Genomic DNA, 25,857 nt, shown 5'->3' on the forward strand with positions numbered 1-25,857 from the left:
AAAGATTAGCTTGCCTTGTATTTTCACTGGACAGCGCTGGTCTAAGTAATTAATAAGACCCAGCTGACATTAGCATCTATTTCTTTCTCCTCTAGCGTTTCTCGAACTGGTTCTACAGTAGCCTGGGGCACCGTTAATTCTGCCAAGGCCTGGCGTGGGATCTTTCTGAATCCTAAGATCCTGGGTGTTGGGTAAGAGGATGATGAGTAAAGAACTGGCTAACTGGTCCCGTACCCACTGCGCATCTCGCAGAGCGGGCTCCCGAATCTCCTCCGGCAGAGCGTCCCCGAGCTTTTGCACGAAGCGGCCGCACAGTTGTAGCATTTCGGTCACAGCCCGCTTCGAGGTGCAGCGCACCCGAAAGTCTTCTCGGGGAGTGGCGGAGACCAAGGCCTGGCTCTCTGTGCCAGCCGCGAGCTCCTTGTCCCATGGAGGGTCAAGGACCACCAACTCAGGAGACCCCGCCATTTTTCGTCGGAACTGTGGGCGGGGCACTCTGGGAGCGGAAAAGCGGGTTCACACTGGTGTAACCAGCATGCATCCGGCTGGAAACTCAGGACGCTGCAGCTGAAACGTTCCGGCTCCGGCTCTGCTGGCCGGTCTAAAGCGGCAGCCGCCGGGGCGCAATGCGAGCGGCTGGCGTAGGCTTGGTGGACTGTCACTGCCACCTCTCCGCCCCGGACTTTGACCGCGTATGTGAGGGCGATACGGGACCAGAGGGAGCAGGGAGGCCCCCGTCCTTTCCCCTCGTGTTATCTTTGCTCTCCTCCCTTGGGACGAAACCCCATATCCCCCGCCCAGACCCTTGTTTATGGCCATATGACCTTGCCCCTCATTTCCCTATTCCCTATTTAACCTCAGACATACCGATTTTTTTTTCCTGATTCAGTAGCGGTAAGCTATCTCCACAAGGCTTTTGTTTGCTCTTCTGAGTTCCTGGAATCGTTCCCTCACTCCCCTTGGCTGGCCTGTTTTTCCCCTCGGGGCTCTCACCTCCTGGCTGAGATGCCACTCTTTGTGGGAAGCGGTCCTCGAAACGCGTTCAAATCGGGGAGAGGTCGGGCGCGGGCTCACGCCCGTAATCCCAGCACTTTGGGAGGCCGAGGCGGGCGCTGCGCATCTCCTGTGTCCAGGAGATCGTGACCAGCCTGGGCAACATGGTGAAACCTCGTCCCTACAAAAAAAAAAAAAAAGCCGGTGATTGTGGCGTTTGCCTGTGGTCCCAGCTACTCGGGAGGCTGAGGTGGGAGAATCGCTGGAGCCCAGGAGGTGGAGGTTGCAGTGAGCTGACATCAAGCCACTGCACTCCAGCCTGGGTAACAGTGAGACCCTGTCTCAAAAAAAAAAAAAAAAAAAAATTCACAAATGGGGGAGAGAGGCAAACAAACAAACAAAAATACATGGCCGAGTGTGGTTGCTCACACTTGTAATCCTAGCACTATGAGAGGCCGAAGTGGGTGGATCGCTTGAGCCCAGGAGTTTGAGACCAGCCTGGGCAATGTGGTGAGACCCCGTCTCAATTAAAATAATAATACACACGTAAAATCAGTTACAAACTGTTTTACCCATTACGTGGGAAACTAGAGACTAATAATAGAGGATTAAGGGGGGTTTTATTTCAGGGGGAAATCCTCCCAGGAGCTGACACTTAAGGCTGAAAAGACAAGGAGCCACCCAAGCAAGGGGGTGAGTGTATGCTGGTTAGGGAAACAGATAGGTTGCAGGCCCCCAGACAAGCTAGAATTTGGCACATTTCAGTTGCCAAAAAGCTAAGTGGAGCCTGATGAGCTAGAAAGAGAAAGGCATGAAACAAAACTGGGGAGGTTTGCAGGGGATAGATGAGGTGGGTCAGTAAGGAATTTGGATTGCATTTGAAGCACAATGCAGATTCATTAAAGGGCTTTTTTAAAATTTATTTTCATTTTTTTATTTTTTTAGATTGAGTCTGGCTGTGTCCCTCAGGCTGAAATGCAATAGCATGATCTCAGGTCATTGCAACCTCCACCTCCTGGGCTCAAAAAATTCTCCTGTCTCAGCCTCCCAAGTAGCTGGGATCACAGGTGTGTCCCACCACGCCTGGCTAATTTTTTGTATTTTTAATAGAGACAGAGTTTTGCCATGTTGTCCAGGCTGGTCTTGAACTTCTGGCCTCAAGTGATCAACCCTCCTTGGCCTCCCAAAGTCCTGGGATTACACAAAAATGGATAGGCATGATGCTATCCATTTTAACACCATTTTGCTGCTGTATGGCAAATGGGTGGAGGAGAAGAGTGGAAGCTACAAGACTAGTTAGGAGGCTTTTGCAGTATATAGGCAAGAGATGTTGGCTGTTGGTACTATGATGATAGCAGGTGAGTTTGAGATGAATACATGGATTCAAGATACATTTTAGAGAGAGAATCCACAGTAAGTACTGAAGAATTGGATGTGGATAGCAAGGGAAAGGGAGGAGTCAAGGATGACTCAGATTATTAGCTTGTGCTATAGGGAAGATGGTGGTGCTGGTTTACTGAGATAAGGGAAGACCAAGGTCTGAGGTGGAGGTGGGGAGGTCAGCAGAAGGAATAGGTTTGTGGGGAGAAAATAAAGATTTATGTTTGGGGCATATTGGGAAACCTAATCCCATCCAAATGAAGATGTCATAATTTTTAAACATGAGTCATGGGCTCAGGAGAGAATTACAAGCTAAAGATAAAAATTGGGGGCCGGGCGCAGTGGCTCATGCCTGTAATCTCAGCACTTTGGGAGGCCGAGGTGGGCAGATCATAAGGTTAGGAGATCGAGACCATCCTGGCTAACATGGTGAAACCCTGTCGCTACTAAAAGTACAAAAAAATTAGCTGGGCATGGCAGCATGTGCCTGTAGTCCCAGCTACTTGGGAGGCTGAGGCAGGAGAATGGTGTGAACCCGGGAGGCGGAGCTTGCAGTGAGCCGAGATCGTGACACTGCACTCCAGCCTGGGTGACAGAGCGAGACTCCATCTCAAAAAAAAAAAAAAAAATTGGGGACTCAGGCTGGGTTCGATGGCTCACACCTGTAGTCCCAGCACTTTGGGAGGCCAAGGTGGGTGGGTCACCTGAGATCAGGAGTTAAAGACCAGCTTGGCCAACATGGTGAAACACCATCTCTACTAAAAATACAAAATTTAGCTGAGTGTGGTGGCGGTCACCTGTAATCCCAGCTACTCTGGAGGCTGAAGCAGGAGAATCACTTGAACCCGGGTGGCAGAGGTGGCAATGAGCCGAGATCGCACCATTGCACTACAGCTGGGAGACAAGAGTGAAACTTCATCTCAAAAAAAAGAAAAAAAATGGGGGCCTCAGCATAATGATGATAAAACCATGAGAGGAAGTGAAATCACTCAAGGCAAGTGCAGAGAGAGGAGCAGATGTTCTTGAAGTCTGAAAGAGGAAGGGGAGCTAGTCAAGGAGACTGACAAGTAGCCACCAATGAGAGAGTGGTATTGCAGAAGTGAAGGGTGGAAAGCATTTCAAGAAGGAAGGAGTAAGCAAGTGAGGGATTCCGAATGCTGCTGAGGAGTAGAGTAAGATGAGGACAGAGAAATACCCTGTATATTTGACAATAGAGGCTTCTGTTTTAGTGCTGGGAACAGTAGCCAGACTTTACTGATAGTAAGAGTAAACAGGAAGTGGGTCAGTGTAGGCTCTTTGTTTTCCACCACTCCATTAGTTGCTATCATTGTTATTTTTTGTGATGCCACAACTACATTGACATATACAGTCCAAGATTAGCTGCTTATTCATCTAAAATAATGGTGATTTCTTATGCTTGTTTTAGGATTTGGATGATGTGTTGGAGAAAGCCAAGAAGGTAAGTCAATATTTGTAATTGCTCTTTTGGTTTTTTATTTTAACTATCATTTCAAGCCAAAACAGCTTGAAATTTAGATATACTACCTTGATGTTTCAGTAGTTTATAGTAAGTAGCATTTTTTATTTTTATTATTTTATTTATTTATTTATTTATTTATTGAGACAGAGTCTCGCTCTGTCGCCCAGGCTGGAGTGCAGTCGTGTGATCTTAGCTCACTGCAACCTCTGCCTCCAAGGTTCAAGTGATTCTCCTGCCTCAGCCTCCTGAGTAGCTGGGACTATAGGCACACGTCACTGCACCCAGATAATTTTTGTATTTTTAGTAGAGACAGGGTTTCACCATGTTGGCCAGGCTGGTCTTGAACTCCTGACCTGAGGTGATCTGCCCACCTCGACCTCCCAAAGTGCTGAGATTGCAGGCGTGACCCACTACGACCAGCCAATTTTTATTATTTATAATTAAAATAGAGACAAGATCTGACTATATTGCCCAGGCTGGTGTCAAACTTCTGAGCTCAAGCAATCTACCCACCTTGGGCTCCCAAAATGCTGGGATTATAGGCATGCGGCACTGCTCCCAGCCTAAGTAGCATTTATTAAGTGTTTGCTACATGCCAGGTAGTGAGCTAAGGCCTTTCTCGACTTTACCTCATTCAATGTTTCACAATAGCCTTCTGAGGAAATTACTAATTTATAGCCAATCATTCCCCATTTTTATAGATGAGGAATCTAAGGCCTAGAGATGAGTAACTGGTCCAAAGACACATGCTAGTGAACTGATAGAGACAAGTTAGTCTGAATTCAAAACATGTTCCTATAGCTACCATGCTCAACAGCCCTATGGAACAAATTGGTCCATCTTTCAGTTTTTAAATTCATGTGGTTCTGGAGATCTGGGATATATTATTAAAGTTTTCTGAGATGTTTTGATTTGCTTAGAAAAATTATTTTTTTGGAAGTGTTTATGAAATTCATTGTAACTAGCATTTTGTGGCCATCTCAAAAAATGATACAGCCAGAAATGGTTGTAGTGCATTTTTACATACAGGTAACTTTCACTGTGGCAGCTTAATTAGGAATGTGGGCTTTGGACATATATAGACCTGATGACCTTGGGCAAGTTATTCGACATCCAAAACTCTGTCTCCTGATCTATACAGTAGACTATAGCCTACTTTATAGGTTTCTGTAAATTAAATGAGGCAATATTTATATTCACTGAACATAAGGTCTGAAACATAGTAAATACTCAATGATAGCCCTTCTGATTGTATTGATGAAGCATGGCTGAACAAGGATAACTAAAATGCAGAGAAAACTTTAAAATTTTCTATAATTTATATTAAATGTATATTGTTTGTAACTTTATTCTTTTTTTTTTTTTCAGGCCAATGTTGTGGCCCTTGTGGCAGTTGCCGAACATTCAGGAGAATTTGAAAAGATTATGCAACTTTCAGAAAGGTGCTACTTTTAATTAAGATTTTAAAGGGTTGCTAATAAGAACACAGTTATGACATCCAGTTTATAATATCAAAGATCCATTTTTAAAGAGAATAAAGAGGAAAAAGCATTTTAACATAGCCCTAAAGAGATTATTTTCTACTTATTCCTTTTTTTTTTCTTTGAGAGATGGAGTCTTGCTCTGTCACCCAAGCTGGAGTGCAGTGGCGCAATGTTGGCTCACTGCAACCTCTGCCTCCTGGTTTCAAGCAATTCTCTGCCTCAGCCTCCCAAGTAGCTGGGTCTAAAGCATGCACCACCAGGCCTGGCTAATTTTTATATTTTTTGTAGATACAGGATTTCACCATGTTGGCCAGGCTGGTCTCAAACTCCTGGCCTTAAGTGATCCACCTGGTTCAGCCTCCCAAAGTGCTGGAATTACAGACATAAGCCACCATGCCCGACCTCTACTTATTCTTTAGAATACGTTGTAATCTACTAGTCTACTGTTCCTGCTTTCTCAGTTGGTTCTACATTTTTAGGTATAATGGGTTTGTCCTGCCATGCTTGGGTGTTCATCCAGTTCAAGGACTTCCACCAGAAGACCAAAGAAGTGTCACACTAAAGGTAACAGTCATACAAAACAGGAACCATTAAAAACAAACAAACGAAAGAATTATTTGACTCAGTAATCCTCCTCTTTCTAATTTATATTCTCAGGAAATAATCCAAAAGAAGGAAACATTACCTTCTTTAACAAAGATGTTTGTTGCAACATTATTCGTAATAGAGAAAAAGTAGAAACAGCCTAGAGGTTCAGAAACAAAGGAATCATTAGTTAAGTTGTAGAGTGTTAAATATAATGCATTTATAGAAAATGAGGATTATAAAGTATTATAGCACATGGAAAATACTTACTGTATAATATAGGGAGAAAAGCAGGATACCAAATAGCATATTCACTATGAGTGACATCTACATAAGCATATATTCATAAGGAAAAGACTGCAGAGAAAACACAGAAATGATAGTAATTGTGATGATCTGTTAGAATTATCTGTAACTTTTTTCACATTTTTTTGGTACTGTAGTCATGTTGCTTTGGCAAAAAAGTGATAGAATATCTAGAAAAAGAAAGATACAAATTCAGAGGTGCCATATACTATTAGGGAACAGATTAGTTCAAGTAAGTAGTATTATCTTTGAACATAGAACCATTGTTACAGGATTGCTCTCCAGCTATTAAATTGCACTGATTTTGTACCCTCTCTAAAAACATCCTACCCGCACTGACTCACGATAGTTGGTATGTCTTATATTTCACACTTGTCTCCTGACTCAGCATCAGGAAGATCCACAGTTTCATGAGTGTTTTATTGCATAATGGGTTTGATAGCCCCATTTCAAAGAAGTAATGACTTTTTGTTACCTATGAATAAATTAAGATATAGTGCCATTTAAAAAATAATAATGTAGGCTGGACACAGTGGCTCGTGCCTGTAATCCCAGCACTTTGGTAGGCTGAGGTGGGTGGATCATGAGGTCAGGAGATTGAGACCTTCCTGGCTAACATGGTGAAACCCTGTCTGTACTAAAAATACAAAAACTTATCCAGGTGTGGTGGCGTGCACCTGTAGTCCCAGCTACTCGGGAGACTAAGGTGGGAGAATCGTTTGAACCCAGGAGGCGAAGATTGTAGTAAGCTGAGATTGCTCCAGTGCACTCCAGCCTGGGTGACAGAGTGAGACTCCATCTCAAAAAAAAAATAATAATAATAATGTATCTCTCTTCCTATATTAAGATACCTTAGGTAGCTAGCTCTACTTATTTCAAAATAAAATTCATGACCAGGCATGGTGGCTCACACCTGTAATCCTAACACTTTGGGAGGCCGAGATGGGAGGACCACTTGAGCTCAGGAGTTCAAGACCAGCCTGGGCAACATGGACGCTATCTCTCAAAAACTCAAAAAAAAAAAAAAAAAAAAAAGAAAAGAAAATTCATTCATTTCAGGTAAAAATGCTTATCCTGTAGCTATCCTGAATTGTTAAGTATGATAAAATTAGCTACATTGCCAATCACAATTCTACAAATGTGGAATCATAGCAAGGCAGCACTTCTTTCATTTATGTGGGGATTTATACTAATAGACATTCATTTAGTTAGGTAGTCAACCAGTGTGTACTGAGCACCTGCTACATGCCAGGCACTGCTGTCAGCACTGCAGACCCAATAATGAGTAAGATCCTGCTCATGGAAGCTAGATTCTAGATGGCCCAGACAGACAGTCAACAATTACATGAGCAGGAAAACTTTCGATAGCACTAAGTGCTTTGAAGACAGTAAAACAAGATTATATAGTAGGTGTTGTGAATGCTGATTGTTAGATGATATCATCAAGGAAGGACTCTGGTAGTGACAATTGAGCTGCAACCTGAATGCTACAAAGGAACTGGCCATGCAAAGAGAGGATCAGGGTGTTATGTGCAAAGGAAACAGCAAAGCACAAAGGTCCCAAGGTAGGAATAAGCTCAGTGTAGTCAAGAAACAGAAAGAGGGCTCATATGGCTAGAGAAAGAGAGGAAGTGATAGTGATGGGGTAAGAGGGATGGGTGGAGATCTCATACAGGACCTTGTTGGATTTTAGTTTACATGCAGTGGAGGGTTTAATGTGAGAAGTACCAAGACGTAATTTATGTTTTAAAAAGATCCTCTTGGCTCTGGCCAAAATGAGTTTGGTGAAGAAAAAAAACCCCTTGGCTAAGGTATGAAGAGTGAGTTTTGAAGAGGGTAAAAAATGAAAAGGGGAAAAAGTTAGAAGGCTACAAATGATGCTGGATGGGACCAGAGTACTAGCATTGGAGGTAGAGAAATGGGTGGATTTGGCATATATTTGGCATTAATATAGAATTGATTGGACTGGTTAACTTACCAAAGTAATTAATATGCCAACAGTATGATAGGTACTTCTTTTTTTTTTTTTTTTGAGATAGAATCTTGCTCTGTCACCCAGGCTGCAGTGCAGTGGCGCCATCTCGGCTCACTGCAGCCTCCGCCTCCCTGGTTCAAGTGATTCTCGTGCCTCAGCCTCCTGAGTAGCTGGGATTACAGGCATGCACCACTACACCCGGCTAATTTTTTGTATTTTTAGTAGAGTTGGGGTTTTGCCATGTTGGCCAGGCTGGTCTCAAACTCCTGGCCTCAAGTGATCCACCTGCCTTGGCCTCCCAAAGTGCTGGGATTATAGGTGTGAGCCACCACACCCGGCCAATAGGTAATTCTTGATTATCAAAGCAGATATGAACTTATCAAATGTTGTGATAATACTCTGGAATAGACTAGAGATGAGCAGAGTTAGCCCTATTTTATTCCAGTTGCACTTGTAGTCCATACTGCAGTTTAGTTTTCTCCTGCTGATTAGATTATAAACCCCTTTAAAACAGGAAGTATGCCTCATTGCACCTTTACAGGCTTCTAAAATATGTGGTACAAAGCTAGGTATGTAGTAAGTATTCATCAAATTAACTTGTTTTATAAGATGAATTACCTAGTATCACACAAACCTTTTAACATATTCCTGAATTAATTAATTCATTCAATAAATACTATTACCAGGCACAGTTTAGGCACTGGGGATAAACCACAATGAACTGTGGTGAACAAATGATGCTGGACGGGACCAGAGTACTAGCATTGGAGGTAGAGAAATGGGTGGATTTGGCATATATTTGGCATTAATATAGAATTGATTGGACTGGTTAACTTACCAAAGTAATTAATATGCCAACAGTATGATAGGTACTTCTTTTTTTTTTTTTTTTTGAGATAGAATCTTGCTCTGTCACCCAGGCTGGAGTGCAGTGGCGCCATAATACAATTCACTGGCGGCATTCTGCTGCCCCTGCATGGAGGGTATTTGCTCTCCAGTTAGCTACTGTTTCTACTTGTTCCACTTTACTAATTTCTGTTAAACACTTGACCCCTGTTCTAAAGGTTCTGAAGACTAAACATTTTCTATAATAAAAAAATCTATTGTAATTATTTAAAATCATTCTGAATAAATCTCTTCTCCTCCTTTGATCCCTTTTGCCCTCCTTCCTTCTTTCATTCATTCCCTTTTTTGTCCCTTCTTCCTTTCTTCTTTCAGCAGCATGGTGGAAACAGCATGCATGAGCTTTGAAGTCAGAGGGACCTGGCCTACTGACTTCTGTGATCTGTGGCACATTACTTACCTTTGCCAAGTCTGATTTCCTCATTTGTAAATAATGAATAATTATATAGTAGTATTATGCCCAATCATAAGGTATAGGGGTATGTAATCTTTTTTTTTTTTTTTTACAAAAACCGTAATAGGGTGGGGTGCCATGGCTGACTCCTGTAATCCCATCACTTTGGGAGGCTGAGGTGGGAAGATTGCTTGAGGCCAGAAGTTGGAGACCAGCCTAGGCAACATACACAAAAATTTAAAATGTTAGCCAGGCATGGTGGCATGTGCCTATAGTCCCAGCTACTCGAGAGGCTGAGATGGGAGAATCACTTGAGCCCAGGAGTTCAAGGCTGCAGTGAGCTATGATCGCACCACTGCACACTCCAGCCTGGGTCACAAACTGAGACCCTATCTTTAAAAAAAAAACAAAAACACAAAAGTATAATAGAACCATTAGCTGTTAAGGAACTTGAGACCTTATGAAGGGAGTGGGGATAGAACTGAGGGCAGAAATAGACCTGTAAATAGCCTTATAAATATGTTTACATCTACTAAAATAAAATGACAAAGACCACACACACAAATAAATTTGTACATATTAAATAAGTAATATGAATTATATTCTACTATTAATTTCTACTTATCATTCTTGACTTGCTGAAAGCTTCCAGATCTATTTTATTAGGAGTTTGAATAGTCTCACTGTAAATCTGTTTTGCTTTTTCATAGGTAATACATATTCCAAGAGGCATGGTTTTTTCTTCATCTGATCTTCCTCCAACTGTGTAATTTCTGTGACTCAGGCTTTCTAAGTGTTAGACATTTCCTGGGTGATTTCTCCTACTTCTCCAGTCCCTCTGAGATCTCAGAGACATACAGTAGTTTGGATGTGTGATATGGAAAAAGCTTTGCCTGGAACTGTTTAACCTACTCAGCTTGTTGTCAAATAGCTTTTCTGACATCTAGGGTCATATACCCATCATTTTTCATGACAATGTTAATTCTTCTTCCAGTCTACTAGAATATATTTCAAGTCTACTAGAATATATTTCAAGTCTACTAGAATATATTTCAAGGCCTTAACTTACCCTCCTTCATCTTTGTTCTCTCTCTCTCATAGTTGTAAAATCTACTCCTGTTCCTCTATCATCTGCTTTACCTTCCTTTTCTTAATTCTCTCTTGTTCTGATTATCCTCAGGAGAAATGCTTTGCAATTTATATATCCTGAAACTAAAATTTGCAATGTAGTCTAAAAGGTATCTAGAAGCAATTTTCCATATATTTATTTTCCCTGCCTAAGAAGGGAACCCTACAGGGCAAATTCTCCTCAGTGGAAAAGGTAATATCATTGAAACTAATGGTACACAGCTACTTCAATATTTAACAAGCATATATGAGATACTCATTGTTTATATTGCTGGGCATCTAGAACAAGTAGTCAAAGCAGGGCTATAAAGACAAATGAAATCAGTGAAAACAGTGCAAAGGAAGTATGGGATTATCATTATAAACTCACCAACCAGACGAATTCTAAGGGGAGAACACAACAATGCAATCGCAAAGCTCACATGCAGAGATGACTCCCTGGTGGTTTGCCTCTCTTTTTCTTAGTGATTTCAGAATGTCCAAATGCCTCCTAAATGTCAGGAAATACCTCCCAAACAGAAGGCCATGTTTAAGTGGCGCTCTTCATAAAAAGTCATATTCTTGTAACCCGAATGGGTATGGGATATGTTTCTACTCAAACTTACAGGTAGAGGTACTCACCATTTTAGAAGGATTACTATTGGTAGTTTTTTGACTGCTTAAATGGATTAAATGTATGTAAAGCACCAGGATGGCATAGCACCTAGCACATAATAGGAGCTTGTGAAATAGCAGTTCCTTTCTTCCATTTTAACAATTTTACTTTTTTTCTCCCAGGATTTGGATGTAGCTTTGCCCATTATTGAGAATTATAAGGATCGGTTGTTGGCAATTGGAGAGGTAAACACCCACTAACTGATCAAACAGCTTCTAATTCAGACTTCTATATGATATATGAAAATAATCTTTAGTTCAGTATTGGTGATTATAACTGACTTGTATAATTATGTTCACCCCACTTAGCCAAATAATAATTCGTTGATACTTCTTTAATAAGCAAGAAAGCTTGGGGATGAAACAATCAAAAGCCTTACCATAGGCCTACCTTAATTGGAGAAAAATAATAGCATTTCTAAATACTTTGCTTTTTTTTTCTTATGCTTAAATATGGGTCCTTGCTCTGGTGAGTTAATATAGTATCTATAATTCTTCATAAGTAATTTAGAAACACACTTTAAATGGGCTAGAGTTTGTAATTAAAGAACTTTTTTATTTAAATAATTTATAATTGTGAATTTTTTTTTTTTTTTTTGAGACAGAACCTTGCTCTGTCACCTAGGCTGGAGTACAGTGGTACAATCCCAGCTGGAGTGCAGTGGCGCAATCTCGGCTCACTGCAACCTCTGCCTCCCAGGTTCAAGTGGTTCTCCTGCCTCAGCCTCCCTACTAGCTGGGATTACAGGCATGCACCACCAACCCAGCTAATTTTTTTGTATTTTTAGTAGAGACGGGGTTTCACCATGTTGGCCAGGCTGGTCTTGGACACCTGGCCTCAAGTAATCCACCCACCTTCGCCTCCCAAAGTGCTGGGATTACAGGCTTGAGCAATCGTGCCCGGCCAATTGTGAAATATTTTTATTACTTGGTAATAAATTCCATTTTTAATTAGAGACAAAAGATAAGAATAACACTTAAATTCAGAATATAGATTATAGAATGCATGCCAAAATAGTCCCAGGAGGAGTCATCTATAGTCTGTGCCGTCCAATATAGTGGCCACTTAACGGCTTCTGAGCATTTGAAATGTGACTGCTCTGAATTAAGATGTGTTGTAAGTGTAAAATACACTGTGTATTTCAAAGTTTTAGTACCAAAAAGAAAAAAAAAAAAGGCTGGGCACAGTGGTTCACACCTGTAATCCCAGCACCTTGGGAGGCTAAGGCGGGCTGATCACTTGAGGTCAGGAATTTGAGACCAGCCTGACCAACATGGTAAAACCTTGTCTCTACTAAAAACACAAAAATTAGCCGGGCGTGGTAGCAGGCACCTGTAATCCCAGCTACTCAGGAAGCTGAGGCAAGAGAATCGCCTGAACCCAGGAGGCAGAGGTTGAAGTGAGCCGAGATCACGCCACTGCACTCCATCCTGGGCAACAGAGCCACACTCCGTCTCAACAAAACAAACAAAAAAAAAGGAATATAAAATAACTCAATATTTTATATTGGCTACATGTTTAAAATAATAATATTTGGGATATATTGGGTTAAAGTATATTATTAAGATTGATTTCACCTGTTTTTGTGAATATTTTTAATGTGGCTACTAGAATTAATATTTTTATGTGGCTTGCTTTTGTGCCTCACATTATATATTTCTATTGGATAGCATCAATCCAAAGATCTCTTTTGAGGTTCCTTAAACCTAAATATGTAATATCTTTTATTTTTCTGCTCTAGGTTGGACTAGATTTCTCCCCCAGATTTGCTGGCACTGGTGAACAGAAGGAAGAGCAAAGACAAGTCCTAATCAGACAGATCCAGTTAGCCAAAAGACTAAATTTGCCTGTGTAGGTTAATTATTTTCCTATGTTAATAGCTATAGAGCAAATTAAATAATGATCAGAGTTCTCCTGAAATGGAACTCTACATTTATTTTTCTCCAAACTACTTTAATAGATCAAAAACAATACTTTCAGAATGGTACTTAAAAGAAATGTTGTTATCGTTAAACAGAAATGTGCACTCACGCTCTGCTGGAAGACCTACCATCAACCTTTTACAAGAGCAAGGTATTTCGTTTCCTGAGAAAAATAGGCCTAATGTTCAAGTTTGACAATTCCAGTTTATGTTCTCATAAAGCAAGCCATGTTTTAATCTGATTTCTTGAAGGGCAGGGGCAAGAAGGGGGGCAGAAATCATCTAAGATGATGTTGCAGGTCAGGCTATTGTTTACAAGGTTTTCAGTGTAATTATGATATTTCCCAGGCCCAGATAGAGTAAATGAAAAGTTGAATACAATAATTTATGTCCCTTAATTTAAAAATTAGCAGCTTCATAAAAAACAAAACAAAACAAAATTAGCAGCTCCAGTTTCTTTTATTTATTTATTTATTTTTTGAGACGGAGTCTCACTCTGTTGCCCAGGCTGGAATGCAGTGGCACAATCTCAGCTCACTGCAACCTCTGCCTCCTGGGTTCAAGCAATTATCCTGCCTCAGCCTCCCATGTAGCTGAGATTACAGGCACCCACTATCACATCCAGCTAATTTTTATATTTTTAGTAGAGCTGGGGTTTTGCCATGTTGGCCAGGCTGGTCTCGAACTCCTGACCTCAAGTGATCCACCCGCCTCAGCCTGCCAAAGTGCTGAGATTACAGGATGAGCCACCGTGCCCACCCTATTTTATTTTTTGAGACACAGTCTCACTCTGTTGCCCAGGCTGGAGTGCAGTGGCGCAATCTTGGCTCACTGCAACCTCCACCTCCTGGGTTCAAGCTATTCTTCTGCTTCAGCATCCCAAGTAGCTAGCATTACAGGTGCGTGCCACCACACCCAGCTAATTTTTGTATTTTTAGTAGAGATGGGGTTTCACGATGTTGGCCAGGCTGGTCTTGAACTCCTGACCTCAGGTGATCCACACGCCTCGGCCTCCCAAAGTGCTGGGATTACAGGCGTGAGCGACTGTGCCTGGCCAGCAGCTCCAGTTTCTTAATCAGCTCAATCAGCTGATTAATGGGGAAAAGGTTAAAAAAAAGAAGGGCAATCACAGCAATCACATTGCGTCACTGTTTTTTTATGTTTTATAGCTGCTACTTCAGAAATGCAGAATTTACAGAAATGCAGAAATACAGATTTTGGCCATCATACATACACACTCTCTTCTTTGCCAGTTGTTCCTAAAGTAAAATTACATCTTATGGCATTATTTTTCAATATTTTAAAGGTGCCATCCGCAGTAAGAAATATAGTTTATTTTGAGACTCATATTTACATAAAGAAAGCTAACAAAAGTTTAACAAGCAATCCACATATGTGTGTGTACGTATAGGTATGTAAGTGTGTGCTACATACACACATACATATAAGCACTCATTGGTTGTGCTTATGAAACTAAACTAAGTTGGTTTCATAACTCACTTATGTTCAGAACCGTCTAATAGTCATTCATACCATTTGAAAAAACTCTGTCAAATAATAAAGTAAATGAAATTGCCTGCAACTAGAAATCAGTGATGAATAGTTCTGGAGTCACTGAAAGCATGATTTTTATGCAGGCTGAGCAGCTACCCTTTAATAACTGGGGATAGTTTTATGAAGTCCACTCTGACTATTGAGTTTGTGTCACTTAGTTCCCCATTTCTTCTTTCACTAGCATTTTTGTTAAGATAATCCATTTGACTGCTTAAAAACCTCCTGTTAGAAACAATTAGCTCACAGACTTCTAGAAAAGGTCTGATGGTGCAGAAAATTTATATTTGTCTTTAAAATTGAATATTTCTCTCTCTCTTTTTTTTTTTTTTTTTTTTGAGACTGGGTCTGACACTGTTGCCCAGGCTGGATTGCAGTGGGGCGATCTCTGCTCACTGCAACCTCCACCTCCTGGGCTCAAGAGATCCTCCCACTTCAGCCCCACAAGTAGCTGGGACTATGGGCACACACCACCACACCCTGCTAATTCTTTTGTGTGTATTTTTCGTAGAAACTGGGTTTCACCATGTTGCCCAGGCTGGTCTCAAACTCCTGAGCTCGCTCAAGAGATCCTCCCATCTCAGCATCCCAGAGTGCTGGGATTACAGACATGAGCCACTGTGCCTGGCCAACATTATTGAATATTTCAATTTTATTCTGAAGATTAAGAATTTATTCTCTCTCTCTCTCTCTCTCCATATATATATATATATATATATATATATATATATATACACACACACACACACATATATACACATATATACACATATATACATATATATACATATATACACATATATACATATGTATATACACATATATACATATGTATATACACATATATACATATGTATATACACATATATACATATATATATATTTATTTATTTTATTTATTTATTTTTTTTGAGATGGAGTCTCACTCTGTCGCCCAGGCTGGAGTACAGTGGCACAATCTTGGCTCACTGCAACCTCTGCCTCCCAGGTTCAAGTGACTCTCCTGCCTCAGCCTCCCAAGTAGCTGGGATTACAGGTGCCTGCCACTACGCCCAGCTAATTTTTTTGTATTTTTAGTAGAGATGGGGTTTCACCATGCTAGTCAGGCTTGTCTTGAACTCCTGACCTCAGGTGATCGCCCACCTCGGCCTCCCAAAGTGCTGGGATTACAGACGTGAGCCACTGCGCCCGGACTATATGTTTTTATTAGTTTATTTTTTGAGACAGAGTCTCACTCCGATGCCCAGCCTAGAGTGCAGTGGTGCGATCACAGCTCACTGCAGCCTTGACATCTCAGACTCAGGTGATCCTCCCACCTTAGCTTCCCGAGTAGCTGGGACTACAGGCCTGCACCACCATGCCCAGCTAAATTTTGTATTTTTTGTAGAGACGGGGTTTCACCATGTTGGCCAGGCTGGTTTCGAACTCCTGGGCTCAAGTGATCTGCCTGCCTTGGCCTCCTAAAGTTCTGGGATTACAAGTGTGAGCCACTGTGCCTGGCCTAAAATTTACTATATTTTTATTCCACTCTTTGAACACCGTACATTTATCCGCCCTTTAGAAGTTATAGAACCTCTTGTTTATATCCTAGTGACCAACATTTACTTAAAATTTCAGACTTCTGTTATTTAATTTGATTGATGGGACATAAAATGGAATACTGCCTTATCTTTCATTTTTGAAAGGTGCTGAGAAGGTACTGCTGCATGCATTTGATGGTCGGCCATCTGTAGCCATGGAAGGAGTAAGAGCTGGGTACTTCTTCTCAATTCCCCCTTCTATCATAAGAAGTGGACAGGTAAATTTTTTCATTGAAACTCATCTAATACTTATGAAATAAAATTTAAAACATGAGCTTTTCTTCCATACTTGTGATACTATTCTAGTTACATTACAAAAATTAATCTTAGGTCTCTACCTCACATATATATAAAAATGAACTCAGAAATTGATCAAAGACTTAAATATAAAACCAAATAAGGCCAGGCTCAGGGGCTCACGCTTGTAATCCCAGCACTTTGGAAGGCTGAAGCGGGTAGATCACCTGAGGCCAGGAGTTCGAAACCAGCCTGGCCAACATGGTGAAACCCCGTCCCTACTAAAAATACAAAAATTAGCTGGGCGTGGTGGCATGTGCTTGTAATCCCAGCTACTTGGGAGGGTGAGGCAGGAGAATCGCTTGAACCAGGAGGTGGAGGTTGCAGTGAGCCAAGATCAAGCCATTGCACTCCAGCCTGGTCAACAAGGGCGAAACTCCATCTCAAAAAAAAAAAAAAAACTAAAAATTCTTAGAGGAAAACAGGCCTTAATTTGTGTGACTCCTTGATTAGGCTGTGGCTTCTTAGATAGGTCATTAAAATCGTAAGCAACCAAAGAAAAAAACAAATTTATTGGACATAATCAAAATTTAAAATGTTCACAATAAAAAATTTAAGACTTATAATTCAAAGCACATTATCAAAAAAGTGAAAATACAACCCATAGAAAGATAAAAAATATTTTCAAGCCATGTATCTGATAAGGGTCTAGTATCCAGAATATATAAAGCACCATTACAACTCAATAAAAAGACAAATAACCTGATTAAAATATGTGCAAATTATTTAAATTAGATATTTCTCTAAAGAAAACATACAAATGGCCAATAAGCTCATAAAAAGACGCTCAACCTCATTAGCCATTTTGGAAATAGAAATCAAAGGTACAGTGAGAGATACAACTTCATACCACTAAGTTTGGAGTTCCTTAGAAACTTAATAAAATTACCATGTGACCCAGCAATTCCACCCCTAGGTAGATACCCAAAAGAGATTAAAACATATGTCCACACAAAAACTTGTACATAAATGTTTATAGCAGCATTATTCATAATAGCCAAAAAGTAGAAACAACCTAGATTTCCGTCAGCTGATGAATGGATAAATAAAATGTGCTATATCCATATAATGGAATATAAAGTCATAAAAAGGAATGAAGAGGAATAAAGTCATGAAAAGAAATGAAGTACTGAGTCATGCTACAGCATGGATGAACCTTGAAAACATTATACTAAGAGAAAGCAACCAGACGAAAAACCACATCTTGTATTATTCCATTCATGTGAAATGTCCAGGTGAGGCAGATCTATAAACACAATATAGATTAGTGGTTTCCAGAATTTTGAGGGGAAGGATAATAGGGAGTGACAGCTAATGGGTATGGGATTTCTTTTTGGAGTGATGAAAATATTCCAGAACTAGATAATGGTGATGATTGTACAATTTTGTGAATATAGCAAAAAACACTGGATTGTGTACTTTTAAAGAGTGAATATTATGGTTATGTGAATTATAGCTTTAAAAATTAAAAACTAGGCCGGGCGCAGTGGCTTATGCCTGTAATCCCAGCACTTTGGGAGGCCGAGGCGGGCAGATCACGAGGTCAGGAGATCGAGACCATCCTGGCTAACACGGGGAAGCCCCGTCACTACTAAAAATACAAAAAATTAGCCAGGCATGGTGGTGGGCGCCTGTAGTCCCACCTACTCGGGAGACTGAGGCAGGAGAATGGCGTGAACCCGGGGGGGCAGAGCCTGCAGTGAGCCGAGATCGCGCCACTGCACTCCAGCCTGGGTGACAGAGCGAGACTCCGTCTCAAAAAAAAAAAAAAGAAAAAAGAAAACCATCCACAACCCAATCTAAAATTTAAATTGGGCTAGGCACTGTGGCTCACACCTGTAATCCCAGCACTTTCGGAGGTCAAAGCAGGCAGTTCACCTGAGGTTAGGAGTTCAAAACCAGCCTGGCCAACATGGTGAGACCCCTTCTCTACTAAAAATACAAAAATTAGCTGGGTGTGGTGGCGCATGCCTATAATCCCAGCTACTCAGGAGGCTGAGGCAGGAGAATCACTTGAACCCAGGAGGCAGATGTTGCAGTGAGCTGAGATCGCGCTTCTGCACTCCAGCCTGGGCGACAGAGACTCCATCTCAAAAATAAATACATTAATTAATAAAAAAATAAAATTTAAATTGCATAAGAACCTTAGATTTGGGCCAGGCACGGAGGCTCATATCTGTGACCTCAGCACTTTGGGAGGCCAAGGGTTGCGGATCACCTGAGCTCAAGAATTTGAGAACAGCCTAGGCAATATGGCGAAACCCTGTCTCTACAAAACATATAAAAATTAGCCGAGTGAAGGCAGGGCGCGGTGGCTCACGCATGTAATCCCAGCACTTTGGGAGGCCAAGGCGGGTGGATCACGACGTGGTCAGGAGATCAAGACCATCCTGGCTCACATGGTGAAACCCCGTCTCTACTAAAAATACAAAAAATTAGCCGGGCATGGTGGTGGGCGCCTGTAGTCCCAGCTACTTGGGAGGCTGAGGCAGGAGAATGGCGTGAACCCGGGAGGCGGAGCTTGCAGTGAGCCGAGATCGCGCCACTGCACGCCAGCCTGGGTGACAGAGCGAGACTCTGTCTCAAAAAAAAAAAAAAAAAAAAAAAAAATTAGCCGAGTGTGGTGGTGTGTGCCTATAGTCCCAACTACTTGGGAGGCTGAGGTGGGAGGATGTCTTCAGCCCAGGAGATGGAGGGTCCAGTGAGCCGAGTACGTGCCACTCCACTCCAACATGAGTGACAGAGCCAGACTGTGTCTCAAAAACAAACAAAACCCTTAGATTTATAAACATAAAGCTTTGAGTGCCTTAAAGTGGATGTTAGAAAGAAACACTGAATGTGATGAGGGTGGAGAAACAACAGAAATCACTTCCTTGTCAATGTCGGCACATGATACCAGATGTTTGGATTTCTGCTTGCTGGGTATACCTCATTTTTGCTATGGTTACTATTCTTTGGTTTCCCTAGAAGCTTTGGATAATTTTTAGGAATTAGTGTTTATATTTTAACATAACTTTTAGTAGTGGAATTATGAGAACATCCAGTTAGCATTTATCAATTGAATTGTTTTTTTGAAGCAGAGTCTCACTCTGTCGCCCAGGCTGGGGTGCAGTGATGTGATCTTGTCTCACTGCAATCTCCGCCTCCCAGGTCCAAGCAATTCTCCTGCCTCAGCCTTCCGAGTACCTGGGATTACAGGCGTGTACCACAATGCCTGGCTAATTTTTGTATTTTTTTTTTCCACTCTGGCTAGGCTGGAGTGCAGTGGCGCGATCTCAGCTCACTGCAACCTCTGCCTCCCGGGTTCAAGTGATTCTGCCTCAACCTCCCGAGTAGCTGGGATTACAGGCAGCCACCACTACGCCCGGCTAATTTTTGTATTTTTAGTAGAGACGGGGTTTCACCATGTTGGTCAGGCTGGTCTCGAACTTCCAATCTCAAGTGATCAGCCTGCCTTGGCCTCCCAAAGTGCTGGACAGGTATGAGCCACCACCCCGGCTTAATTTTTGTATTCTCAGTAGAGATGGGGTTTTATCATGTTGCCCAGGCTGGTCTCGAACTCCTGGTCTCAAGTGACCCACCCACCTCAGCCTCCCAAAGTACTGGGATTACAGGCGCGAGCTACCACAACCGGCCTATCAGTTGAATAGTAAAAAATAATTTTTTTTTGAGGCGGAGTCTCGCTCTGTTGCCCAGTCTGGAGTACAGTGGCGTGATCTCGGCTCACTGCAACCTTGCCTGGCTAATTTTTGTATTTGTATTTTTATTTTATTATTATTATTATTTTTTTTTTGAGATGGAGTCTTGCTCTGCTGCCCAGTCTGGAGTACAGTGGGGTGATCTCGGCTCACTGCAACCTCCACCTCCCGGGTTCAAGTGATTCTTCTTCCTCAGCCTCCTGAGTAGCTGGGATTACAGGTGCCTGCCACCATGCCTGGCTAATTTTTGTATTTTCAGTAGAGATGGGGTTTCACCATGTTGGCCAGGCTAGTCTTGAACTCCTGACCTTATGTTCTGTCTGCCTCGGCCTCCCAAAGTGCTGGGATTACAAGCATGAGCCACTGTGCCTGGCAATTTTTGTATTTTTAGCAGAGACGGGGTTTCACCATGTTGGTCAGGCTGGTCTTGAACTCCTGACCTCGTGATCCACCCGCCTCGGCCTCCCAAAGTGCTGGGATTACAGGCGTGAGCCACCGCGCCCAGCCTAAAGCATAAATTTTAAGTTATTGCAGAATAAAATGCATTATTAGTATGTCAATTTAATGCTCTTTATCTTTATTTCTCATGTTTTAAACTTAGCTGCTTTCTCTTTTCTCTAAGAAGCAGAAACTTGTGAAACAATTGCCTTTAACTTCTATATGCTTAGAAACAGATTCACCTGCACTAGGACCAGAAAAACAGGTAAATGGTTTTCTAATTTCTATATTATTTAGATTGTATCTTTCATTTGAGTTCTTTTCAATTTAGCTGTATTTCTCATTATAGTGTAAATACAGTGGAATCCTCATATACTGCCAGATTGAGGGCTTATATTAACTTTATTTCAGGTCTTTCTAAATATAGCTGTTGCACTCCAGAGAATATTATTTGATAATGAAGCATGTCCTAATGTATGTAATAATAAGAGTCAGACCAGTGTAGTAAAAAGCACAGTGTCTGCAGTCAGAAAGACAAATTCAAATCCTGTTATCTACCTAGTAGCTGACTTTGGGCAAGCTACTTAATCTCTCTGAAACTGCTTTTTCATTTATAAAATATGGGTAAAATAATAAATACATTAAAAGATTATGGTGGGCTGGGCACGGTGGCTCACACCTGTAATCCCAGCACTCTGGGAGGCCAAGGCGGGCAGATCACCTGAGGTCAGGAGTTCGAGACCAGCTTGACTAACATGGAGAAACCCTGTCTCTACTAAAAATACAAAAAAATTAGCTGGGCGTGGTGGCACATGCGCCTGTAATCGCAGCTACTCGGGAGGCTGAGGCAGGAGAATCGCTTGAACCCGGGAGGTGGAGGTTGCAGTGAGCCGAGATTGCACCATTGCACCCCAGCCTGGGCAACAAGAGCAAAACTCCATCTCAAAAAAAAAAGAAAAGATTATGGTAAGTATTACATGAAGTAACGTATGTGAACGTAACTAGCAGTATCTGGTATACAGTAGGTATTCAATGAGTGTTCATTTTTCTTCTTTTAATTAGCATGTTATAATGAAGTTCTATTTCTTTCAATACAAGTATTGATATAATCATGGGTTTATTTATATGATCTTTGCTGTTAGTATCTCTTTTTGTTATTGTAGGCCACAAAGAATCATATTTTAAATTTCACTCTCTTTCATATTGCTACTATTTTAAATTATAATTTTCTGAAAGTAAGCCACAGTATATGCTTTATTTGCTTTAGGCAGTACCTATTACAATGACCTCCCAATGTGCAGTTTAATAAGTGCCTTTGACTACCCATCAGATCTGTGTCTCTATGCCTGCCAAATTCAGAGAATTGGCACTCAAAATTTAGAGGTTTGGGAACAGTAGCAATTATTATCCGTTTATTCAGAAACTATGATTATATGTGATTGCAATGTGAATTTTACTAACTGATGTTCAATTAATGTTTCTATTTTTATTTTCTTTCTTTTCTTTTTTTTTTTTTTTTTGAGACAGGGTCTACTCTGTCACCCAAGCTATAGTGCAGTGGCGTGATCACAGCAACCTCGACTTTCTGGGTTCAGATGATTCTCCATCAGGCATGTGCTACCATGCCTGGCTACTTGTTTTTGTTTTTGTTTTTGTTTTGTTTTTGAGACAGAGTCTTGCTCTGTCGCCCAGGCTGGAGTGCAGTGGCGCAATCTCAGCTCACTGCAACTTCCGCCTTCTGGATTCAAGCAATTCTCCTGCCTCAGCCTCCCTAGTAGCTGGGATTACAGGCTTGTGCCACCACGCCCGGCTGATTTTTGTATTTTTAGTGCACATATATTTCATAAAAACAGGATTAACTTGGACATATTATTTTATAACTGATCTTTATGTGGTAAACCTCTGTATATATATTTTTTTTGTTAATTTTTTTTTTAATAGAGACAAGGTCTCACTATGTTGCCCAGGCTGGTCTCAAACTCCTAAGCTCAAGTGATCCTCCCACCTCGGCCTTCCTAAGTGCTAAGATTACAGGTGTAAGCCACTGCACCTGGCTGAACCTCTGTATATATTAATAAACATACTTTTCTTCATCATGTTTAATAACTGCATAATATTCCAGTATGTGAGTTTACCATATTTAACTTGCTATTGGTCATCTAGATTGTATTATAAACAACATGATTAACATAAATCTCTATGCCCATTTTTAATTTTTTTGGGCTACATTACCAAAGTGCATTTTAAAAATTTTAACAATAATGTTATTCTTCTGAACATTATCATCCTGAGTAGATACTTATTGATAGTAACAATAATAATTTATTTCATAAAATCTAAATGCTACTGATTGTAGAGGCACCATTGTTTACCATTGTTTTATGACCATTAAGAAAGAAAAAACACTGCCAGTTATACTATGAAATACCACTGAATCTAAATGAAATATACTGTATCAATTTCAGAGATGTTAAAATAGGAGAGGAAATGCATCTTAGAATCAGTGAAATGCCAGTACATAATCTATTTCATCTTTCCAATACATGTTGGCAATTCTTGAATCAAACTGTCATGTAGCCTGTGAGGTAGGCGGCCAAGCAGCAGAGCAGTGACCTTTTACAAGCATTCACCTAAGCAACAAACCAAAGGACAATTAATCCATTAGTCAGGCAGGTTACCAGGTGTTCACTGTTTGCAGACTGCTTCATGTGCTAGGAGCTAGGGACTTCAATTGTAAATACCCCAGGGTTCTTTTCAGGAGCAGCACAGATTTACAATCAACATTGCAGCCACACCTCCCTCCCAGCCCTCATCCCCACCTAAAAAGAAAAAAATTAAAAAGGAGCCCATCAGTTGTTTTTACCAACTCATTTTCTTCTATCTATAGTCTCCAAGGATCTGCTTCCCTTCAGTGTCATGTTTGACATGGTGTCTGCTGTCTTGTTTCAGGTACGGAATGAGCCCTGGAACATTTCTATTTCAGCAGAATATATTGCCCAGGTGAAAGGGATCTCAGTGGAAGAAGTTATAGAAGTGACGACACAGAATGCATTAAAACTGTTTCCTAAGCTCCGACACTTGCTCCAGAAATAGCTTCAAAACCATCCATTACAAAATCGAATCAACTGCAGGGGGCAGCATTTGAAAAATAGAAATGTTCTGATGAAGAATCTGAACTGAAGAAGCTGTTTTATAGGGTTATAGAAGATTGTAATTGTAGAGAAATATTTCTCTTAGAAATAAAACTGGGCTTGGATCCTGAAACCCTGGGTTCTGATTCTAGCCTTGTGCTGCTTTTCAATTAGCCGAGTTCTGGCAGGATATTGGGAAAATACTGCTACTTCTTACATTGCCCTTTTATATAGAACCACCACCTGAACTGAAACCATTGCTACTGGGAAGGGTGGCTCCCACAGGAAGAGTATAAGCACTACTGTGATGAGGATGGAGTAAGCTAAAGTATACTTTTTTTTTTTTTTGATGGAGTTTCGCTGTTGTTGCCCAGGCTGGAGTGCAATGGCACGATCTTGGCTCACTGCAACCTCCACTTCCCAGGTTCTAGCGAGTCTCCTCCCTCAGCCTCCCAAGTAGCTGGGATTACAGGCATGTGCCACCATGCCCAGCTAATTTTGTATTTTTAGTAGAGACAGGGTTTCTCCATGTTGGTCAGGCTGGTCTCGAACTCCCGACCTCAGGTGATCCGCCCGCCTCGGCCTCCCAAAGTGCTGGGATTACAGGCATGAGCCACTGCGCCAGCCTAAAGTGTGTTCTTACCACCTATTTTTCTTCCCATAGGAGTTAGCCAGTGAAGGGAGAATGTCTGGTTTTCTATGCTGTCAGAAATCTCTTTTCTAGGTTTGTAAAATTGAACTTTTAGTACTTCGAATTATTTCTCTTTAAGATAAAAATGCATACGATTTTTACACTGATCTTAGATTTTTGACTTATGAGGCCAGTGGTTTAAACAATCATTATTGAATACCAAGCCCAAAAGTTTAGTTAATACACCAATTGTAAGTTCTGGTCTGAATTTTGTCAACATATTTAGAATGTAAATGGCATTATTAAAAATGTATCTGATTTCTCTGTGAACAGTAATATTTCATATTTTTAAGTTTAAAAATGTTAGTGTAAGCCAGGCACAGTGGCATTCACCTGTAGTGCCAACCACTCAGGAGGCTGAGATGGGAGACCTTTTAAGCCTGAGTTTGAGTCAGGCCTGGGCAACATAGATGTGAGCACCTATCTCTAAAAATGTAAATAAATAAAAATCTCAAAAAAATTAAAAATCTCAAGTGTAAAAACAGTTCTGTAGATAGATGGTAGTGATGGTAGCACATCAATGTGAAGGTATTTAATGCCACTGAACTGTACACTTATAACGAATTAGGATAAATTTTATGTTATGTGTATTTACTACAATTTTTTAAAAATCGTATATGTAGTTTAACAGGTGTGGTCAATATCAAAACTTAGGTATTTAATCTTGTTAAATTATATAAGCAGAAAATGCTGGAAAAAGTACCTGTCATAGAAAAAAATAAACTTCCTAAATCAAAGTGATTTTATGAAATGATCTTCAATAAATATTTTGAAATGAATTCATTTATGGAAGAATCAAAACTAGGTCAGATTGTCCAAACCAGACTAAGAAACTGAATAGGGTATTTTATGAGGTATTTAATGACTCATCAGCACCATTTTAAATGAAATTCCTACATTTAACAGGAGATTATATTAAAACTGGACTTTTAAGCTCTCTTCCAACTCTGTATTTCTTTTCCCTATTTCCTACCTTCTGTACACATACCCTTTGTCAGACTCTTACCATTAAATCGTTTAAGGTTCAAGTTAAATTACTTCATCTTGCCTCATCACCCAGCCAGACATGATCTTTGCCCTCTAAATTGTTTAGCCATTTTCTTCATGTATTCATCCATTTGTTTGTTTCAGTTATTAAGCCCCTCCTCCTATAGGCTGCCCACTAGTCTAGGTTCCTAGGTTACAAAGATGAATAAGATATGATCTTTGCCCTCAGTTCACAATTTAATCAAGGAGATAGCCAAGTGGACAAATAATTTCATAGCAA

At 40.8% G+C, this 25,857-nt stretch overlaps 2 protein-coding genes across 17 annotated transcripts in view, besides 4 other annotated features; one reads left to right on the forward strand and one right to left on the reverse strand.

Annotated features, from left to right (window-relative positions):
* NSL1 (NSL1 component of MIS12 kinetochore complex) overlaps positions 1-482 on the reverse strand; it is a 65,625-nt gene extending 65,143 nt beyond the window's left edge. For all 5 annotated transcript variants that reach the window (NM_001297736.2, NM_001297739.2, NM_001297737.2 and 2 more), the window contains exon 1: positions 235-482. In NM_001297736.2, coding sequence (NP_001284665.1) covers positions 235-468 — 234 coding nt within the window. In that variant the 5' untranslated portion in view covers positions 469-482. The remainder of the gene's footprint in view (positions 1-234) is intronic.
* Positions 408-687: an enhancer, noted in NCBI's record as "active region_2517". NCBI's record gives its function as "activates an Ori minimal core promoter by ATAC-STARR-seq in GM12878 lymphoblastoid cells {active_cell/tissue: GM12878}" and the evidence as "EXISTENCE:reporter gene assay evidence [ECO:0000049][PMID:35858748]".
* Positions 599-25,535, forward strand: TATDN3 (TatD DNase domain containing 3). 12 transcript variants are annotated; one of them, NM_001146171.2, is made up of 10 exons: positions 599-692; positions 3,800-3,832; positions 5,222-5,295; positions 5,817-5,901; positions 11,406-11,468; positions 13,025-13,134; positions 13,301-13,356; positions 16,441-16,553; positions 20,932-21,033; positions 23,718-25,535. In NM_001146171.2, exons 1-10 carry the CDS (start codon positions 627-629, stop codon positions 23,859-23,861), a joined length of 846 nt encoding a protein of 281 aa, NP_001139643.1. In that variant the 5' UTR covers positions 599-626; the 3' UTR covers positions 23,862-25,535. The 12 variants fall into 12 exon arrangements, with proteins under 12 accessions (NP_001139643.1, NP_001139641.1, NP_001036017.1 ...); NM_001146169.2 differs by having other exon boundaries at positions 23,752-25,535; NM_001042552.3 differs by having other exon boundaries at positions 20,953-21,033.
* Positions 2,822-3,322: an enhancer, noted in NCBI's record as "H3K4me1 hESC enhancer chr1:212967459-212967959 (GRCh37/hg19 assembly coordinates)". NCBI's record gives its function as "activates a minimal SCP1, AML or CMV promoter by ChIP-STARR-seq in naive H9 embryonic stem cells {active_cell/tissue: H9 hESC(naive)}" and the evidence as "EXISTENCE:reporter gene assay evidence [ECO:0000049][PMID:30033119]".
* Positions 3,201-3,270: an enhancer, noted in NCBI's record as "active region_2518". NCBI's record gives its function as "activates an Ori minimal core promoter by ATAC-STARR-seq in GM12878 lymphoblastoid cells {active_cell/tissue: GM12878}" and the evidence as "EXISTENCE:reporter gene assay evidence [ECO:0000049][PMID:35858748]".
* Positions 3,611-3,660: an enhancer, noted in NCBI's record as "active region_2519". NCBI's record gives its function as "activates an Ori minimal core promoter by ATAC-STARR-seq in GM12878 lymphoblastoid cells {active_cell/tissue: GM12878}" and the evidence as "EXISTENCE:reporter gene assay evidence [ECO:0000049][PMID:35858748]".
* Positions 25,536-25,857: the final 322 nt, after the last annotated feature.

Source organism: Homo sapiens, chromosome 1, assembly GCF_000001405.40.
Source record: "Homo sapiens chromosome 1, GRCh38.p14 Primary Assembly".
In the NCBI taxonomy this organism is placed as follows: domain Eukaryota; kingdom Metazoa; phylum Chordata; class Mammalia; order Primates; family Hominidae; genus Homo; species Homo sapiens.